The sequence below is a fragment of the Homo sapiens genome, chromosome 1 (genome assembly GCF_000001405.40).
Source record: "Homo sapiens chromosome 1, GRCh38.p14 Primary Assembly".
Classification (NCBI taxonomy): Eukaryota; Metazoa; Chordata; class Mammalia; order Primates; family Hominidae; genus Homo; species Homo sapiens.
The window spans coordinates 222,007,694-222,014,720 of NC_000001.11; the positions used below are offsets into that span (position 1 = coordinate 222,007,694).

A 7,027-nucleotide genomic window follows, 5' to 3' on the forward strand; every position below is an offset into this window, starting at 1 on the left:
TTTTTTGTAAAGAAAGGATTTCACCATGTTGCCCAGGCTTGTCTCAAGCTCCTGGGCTCAAGCAATCTGCCTGCCTTGGCTTTGCAAAGTGTTGGGATTAGCCCCTTTTTCTTTCTAAGCAAATCATCTGTAATAATTTATTTGGAGTACCTAGTAATAAAATTTCTAAATAAATACCATTCCACTTTTAAAAACATTTAATTAGCTTTATTCACATTAAAATACATGATTACAGGTCTGTTGCTAGCCATCGATCAATTCGATCAAGTAAACAAGAATCCTGAAGTATTTCAAGAACTGTGGGATGTACTCAGTCAAAATATAAGTTTGACTCAATTTTACATACTGATAAGTAATTCAAGAGTTTCATGATAAAGTCTTTTCACAGACTAAGAAAGACGAAAATATTATCTGGAATTTGGTTTCATTTTCATCAGGTGAAAAATACTTTCACTGTGGACATATTTATCCAACTTAGGTTCACAGAAGGAATGTTTTCAGTTGGTTACAAATATCAAAATGAATTGTCATCTGCTGGCAGGGAAATAGGGAACCAGAGACGGGGGGGGACTGAGAAAAATTCAGAAAACACCACTTGCTTTTATCTGGCTAGTTCACAACATAAACGACCCAAGCTACAACCAAAGTTTGAAATGTTTTTTCACATGGAAAAATTAGAAATAATTTTATTGTTTGCTTTGTAATTAAATTGATTCCTTTACAACTTTGTGGAAAGTTTTTACATTGAAAATCTCTGCCGGGTGCGGTGGCTCATGCCTATAATCCCAGCATTTTGGGAGCCCGAGACGAGCGGATCACTCGAAGCCAGGAGTTCGAGACCAGTCTGGCCAACATGGCAAAACCCCATCTCTACTAAAAATACAAAAAAATAGCCAGGCGTGGTGGTGGGCACCTGTAGCCCCAGCTACTCAGAGGCTGAGGCACGAGAATGGCTTAAACCCGGGAGGGAGGCAGAGGTTGCAGTGAGCTGAGATTGCACCACTGCTCTACAGCCTGGGCAACAGAGCAGGACTCCTCAAAAAAAAAAAAAAAAAAAAAAAAAAAGAAAAGAAAAGAAAAGAAAGAAAGAAAAAAAGAAAAAGAAAACTGGGTGCGGTAGCTCAGGCCTGTAATCCCAGCACTTTGGGAGGCCGAGGCAGGCAGATCACGAGGTCAGGAGTTCCACACCAGCCTTGCCAACATGGTGAAACCCCATCTCTACTAAAAAATACAAAAATTAGCTGGGTATGGTGGCGGGCGCTTGTAATCCCAGCTACTTGGGGGGCTGAGGCAGGAGAATCGCTTGAACCTGGGAGGGGGAGGTTGCAGTGACCCGAGATCGCGCCATTGCACTCCAGCCTGGGCGACAGAGTGAGACTTCGTCTCCAAAAAAGAAAAAAAAGAAAGAAAGAAAGAAAGAAAGGACCTCTACAGATGAGTTTCCCATAGACAGGACTGGAGGGAATTTAATGCCTTATGCTGTTTCCCTTTGATAAGCAGCCCCTGCAGGCCCCCTGAGTGATCTCCAGTTCCTAAAGCCACAGGTGTTCTCATCTATTCTAGAGAAACTGCAGGAGCATAGTGAATTAAAATGGTTTCACTTTTGCTCACGGGAGCCACCTACTGTGTCACTTTTACATTGTCCACATCCAACCCAGGTAAAGATAGGCTTTTTGGGGGAGCTAGGGGTATGATATTTTTAATAATTCAAAATTCTTAGAATATTAAATGTGTCCATGACTTTAAGAAAGGGGTTCTTTCTATCTGCAGTATAATTTCTGAAAAAAAAATGATTTGACTAGATATGTAAAATGCCAGAAGGCACTAGTAACTAAAAATCTAGCCAAGATAAAGTATCTTTTCAACGATTTTGTAAGTCAATGCACTGGGGAGAAGAAGGAGATGAAAGCCATCCAAAATGGGCCATGTCCTTCCATTTCACATTCAGAATCAGCTCTACTGCTGAGACCCCTATATGTAACATTTATCCTGTTATTTGGAAAATGGTATGGTGTGTTTGAAGACCACCCTCCAGGCAGTCTGAAACTCCAGACTGGAGGCTCAGCTCAAACCAACCATCACAAATTATATGACTGCACAAATCAATTTCTCTCTCTTAACTTCAGTTCAAACATCTTAAATGTGAGTGCAGTAGACTAAATCAGAGGCCTCAGAACTTCTTGTTTAATACGGATAGAACACAAGTATATGAAAAGAGATAAAACTGGATTGGACCCAGAGCAATCCTAAGGAACCCCAGGGCTCTGTGTGACTCAGTTTCCAAACCGCTAGATCAAGAGATTCCAAAGACATTCTCTAGCTCTAATAGTCTATGATTCAACATTGAAAATATTAAAAAAAAAAAAAAAAACCCAGAACGCTATGTCTCCATCTATATAATATGTCCCAGAGGTTTAGCTCTGAGGAAATTGGTCCAAGTTGCATCACTGGAAGAAGAAGAGAAAAAGAAAATAATGAAAAAAGAAAAATTGACTTCGCTCTAATGAACTCAAACAGGAGCTGGTTAGTATTTCTGAATCTTTGCCAGGGCTTCAGCCTCCCCTCTGAAAAAGTACATGTGGGGAACACAGAGCCCCATCAAATGAAAAGAGATGGAGTGCACAAGAGGACTTTCCAAAAGAAAAGCTCTTCTCCTTGAACTCTGCAGGATCCATTTGCACTACTGGACATTTCTGACACTGGAGAGAAAAAATGCTTAGTAGGAACCCTCTGTCCTCATAACAGGTTTCTCCTGTTTGTTGCTTTGTGAACTAATGTAAATCAAATAAAGCAATGTACTCAAACCACAGTGGACCTGAGTGTATAAATGAGGAACAGGTGGTGATTAAGTGTATAGTGTCATTTCTATTTTGTGACGTTAATGGATCACAAAAGCACTATAGTCCACATGGCAGGAGTGGTCACAGCCACCCCACATACTCTTCTTCTAAATGTGATCTCCAAACCTCCTTCCCTTCTCATCTCCCACTCAGTTCTGGGAAATGCAGAAAAATGTGTAATAGTTAGTGACAGAAAGAGCCACTGACCTAAATACATGGTGGGTCATTTATTATGCATGGCTTCTGATCAAGGAATTAGAGAGTTTTCATTCAATCTTTATTTTCAGCCACTCAAGTTCCATTTCCCTTGCTTTATTTAGTTTTGACAAAGACAGTTTCTGTATTTACACTTAACATGCTTAGTTTCCCTAAATATTCAAGGATACCATCAACCCTCACTGGAGGCCTCTTTGATAATGGCAGGTATAATTTCTGTATTAGTTTTCTGTTGTTGCATAACAAATCACCCATCCCCCCCACCAAAAGAACAACTTAGTGGCTTAAACAATAAGCATATATTATCTCACACAGTTTCTGTAGGGTCAGGAATTTGGAAGTGGGGTAATTTTGGCTTGAGGTCTCTGATGAGATTGCAGTCAAGATGTCAGCCAGAACTCCAGTCATCCGAAGGCTCATCTGGGGTGGGAGAATCTGCTTCCAAGATGGCTCACTCACATAGCTGTTAGCAAGAAACCTAGGTTTCTCACTAGAATTGACAGGAGGCCTTCGTACCTTACCACATGGACCTCTGAATAGGGCTGCTTGAGTGTCCTCACAACAGGGAAGCCAGTGTCTCCCAGAGTGAGTGAACTGAGAGAGAGAGACAGAGAGAGAGAGAGAGAGAACGAGAAGGATGCCTTATGATGTTGATGACCTAGTCTCATAAATCACACATCATCACTCCTTGTATATTCTATTTATCAGAAGTGAGCCACTAAAGCTGAACCCATGCTTAAGGGGAAGGGAATTAGACTCCACATGTTTTAGGGGAGACACACCAAAGAATTTGCAGACACATTTTAAAACCAACAAATCTTAGGATGGCCCAGAATCTGAAAATGGAAACTTTGAAAAAGTACTGCAAGGTAACGATTCAAATGTCAAAAAGATTTTCTGCAGGATTTTGTTGCTTGGCAGTGTAGGGGAGCCAGAGGTCACTTCCAAACCCTTTTTAACTCTTAGTGGGCTCTTTGGCTTGACCTAGGAGCCAAATTGACATCAGGTAGATTAATAAGAAAAAATCGTAAAAACTTTATTAGTTTTACATGTACATGGGGATCTTCACAAGAGTGAAAATCGAAGAAGTGGCCAGAGCAAGATGCTTTTTAGACAAAAACCAATAAACTTGAGAGGACAAAGAGGATCTGGCTAAGGGCAGTAAATTTCTTCAGGGTTCACTAGGAGATATATGAGGGGTGGAGAAGTAGTGAAAGATAAGGGCTACCTTAGTAAATATGTTTATTATAGTTCATTGCAGCCCCCAGTTCCCAATCTCTGTGATAAGGACTATTTTGTCACTCTAGTACAGGGAGGGGGCCCCTTCCAGAGGAATCTCTGTGACTTGCTGTCTGCTGGAAGAGATAGGTCAGCTTGCCCTTTCTGAAACTACAATTTCTTCAATGTTTTTAACTCAAAATAATCAATATACCAATTCAGCATATTTTGGGATAGCGTGTCCTTCACTCCTTCAGCAGTGGCACAACACACATAAGTATTGGTTTACAGATCATTAATTACTTGATAATAAGATTAGAATCAGAGGATCTTTAATCTAAATGTCAGAAAGAAGGAGTACTTAACATTACAGATATCTCTTAACAAATTACAGATATCTGTCATGATCTTGTAAAGTAATGTGGAAAATGGTTTAATTCATAGAGATTTTCAGGAACACATCTGAAGTATACAAGAAACTGGCTTTGGAATTTCTCTGCTGTGAAGATGCAAGGAAGTCAAAGATTAAATAAACAAAGATGATGATAAACATAGATGCTAATGAAAATGTTAATGCTTCTAACCCAGCTGATGATAAAGAAGATAAAGAAATTGAAGTGATTCTTAGGTGACTACAGTAATTTTTTTGGAAGTACTTCCATGATTTTGCCAAATTTTACAACAACTCTTGGAATAAAAGGAGTGGCAATGATTGTGCCATTTTTATTGTGTGTTGAGGGTAGAAGGGAGAGAGTGAAGCTTGATATTCATATACCAAAACCAAAAGTTAATTCTTGCTGAAAGTAAAAAGTAAAAAATCAGTCAGACTACTTTACTGACATAGAGGCAAATAACCAACTTATTTGTGTAATTTTATTTTTTTCATTTCCAACAGTTTATTTCAGCATCACACAAATATAGCAACTTCCCCATTCCCCCCAAAATGTAAAAGGTTTTCTGACAGAGTCAATAACATTTACACTTATGAAACAAACTATTTAGGTTGGTGCAAAAGTAATTGAGGTTTTTGCAATTAAATTTAGGTTGGTGCAAAAGTAATTGCGGTTTTTGCCATTACTTTTAATTGCAAAAACCTCAATTACTTTTGCACCAACCTAATATTGTTAAGTTCCACTGATAGAGAAGCAGAGGCTTGTATACAAACTTTCCAAATAAATATTTCTCATTCTAACAAGTGATTGGGTGTGCTTAATTAAATAAAGAATAAGAAAACAGAATAAATCGTGGCTGACATCTTTAAAGGTTGCATTCTGGCATTTGTTTTTTGATGGGGCCATTTATTTATCCCTTCTTGAGCTGTCTAGCTAGAGAACTCTGTATTTCAGCAGTGAGTGACAGTTCTCCCATCTGTGCTTCTTATTTGCCTTCTATTCAAATAAACAAAATGCATTGCAGATACTGGTATATATTTTGCTTTGGACAGGTTTCTACCCCTAACTTACAAGCAGACTTAGCATCTACCAGGGAAGAAGAAGGTTGTGGTGTTTGGAGTTGTGTGGTTGTAGAAAATTTTGTGAATGGAAGAGGCTCTTTTAAAAAGCTTGTTGTCTAGATAGCCTTGCTCTTTCAAGTATGGTCATGGAGATTGTGAATCATGTAGACAGAAGTCTCAGGTGGCGTCACAGACCTATGGAATCAGAATCAGTGCTTTTTAAGGTGACCCCTGGATGATTCCCCTGTGTATTTAAGTTTGGTAAGCACTGCTCTGCAGAACTCAAGACAAAAATATTTGCATTCTGGATAAACAAGAAAGCTTTACACAGAAGCTAGTCCTATCCACTGTTTTCCCCTCATCCGGTTACACTACAAATCTCACCCTAGACTCAGACTGCAGAAGAAAGTTGCTAGATGCCAAATGTTCACCTCCTTGTAGCTAATTTCCATGTGCACAGGAACTTGAGCTATCTCACCAGGCCATCAGAACCAGCAGGTCCAGTGTTCAGGTAAGGGTTCCTAGCAGAGGTTTGCAAATAAAATCATTCACACAGACTAATCCTGGTTGGAGGGAAATGCACAAAGTCTAAGGAAAATCAAGGTGTAGAAAGGGGGTGCCCAATTTACACATATTTAGCCCTGTTAGCTTTCCCGGGCTTACTCAGCTTTCTTTCTCTTCATTGAGTGTCATCTCTTCATGATCAGGATGACAACTTACAAATATATGCACGAAGAGCCAGTGCTTCAATACTGAACAGGAGAAAACGACAATACTGCTGTTCCAAAACCGAAATACTCCATTTGGAACTGAATTGCTTTCAGAGTCATATGCTCACAACCAAAAAAGGAAACACTCTTAACACTCAAATATTTGAAAAAAAAAAAAACCACCATAATTACTAGCTCATGAGAAAAAAATACAAATTTCATATAGTTCTCAGTAGACCTGGAGACTTCCTTTCTTATACAATGTTCCATGACTGCCACAAAGCCTGTGAGATACTTGGGGTATTATCACCCTCTCCATTTTACAGGTAAAGAGAAAGGCCCTGTGCTGCTCACCTTTGTGACAAGCCTTCCATTGTGACAGCTATCAAGGGGCAGAACTATAACTACAGCCAGGCTCCATGATTCCAACACAACGTTGTTTTCTCCTCTACACATGGTTTGACTATAGGAAATTGTCACTTTGCACTTTGAAAGACTGCTGAAGGCTAATCATATGACACTATGCCATGTGATAAAATTGCATAGTGGTTTGGAAACTACAGTCAATATAGCCCCATCACTATGTTACT

At 39.4% G+C, this 7,027-nt stretch overlaps 1 annotated feature.

The window, feature by feature from the left end:
• Window positions 1,305-1,837: an enhancer, noted in NCBI's record as "NANOG-H3K4me1 hESC enhancer chr1:222182340-222182872 (GRCh37/hg19 assembly coordinates)". NCBI's record gives its function as "activates a minimal SCP1, AML or CMV promoter by ChIP-STARR-seq in primed H9 embryonic stem cells {active_cell/tissue: H9 hESC(primed)}" and the evidence as "EXISTENCE:reporter gene assay evidence [ECO:0000049][PMID:30033119]".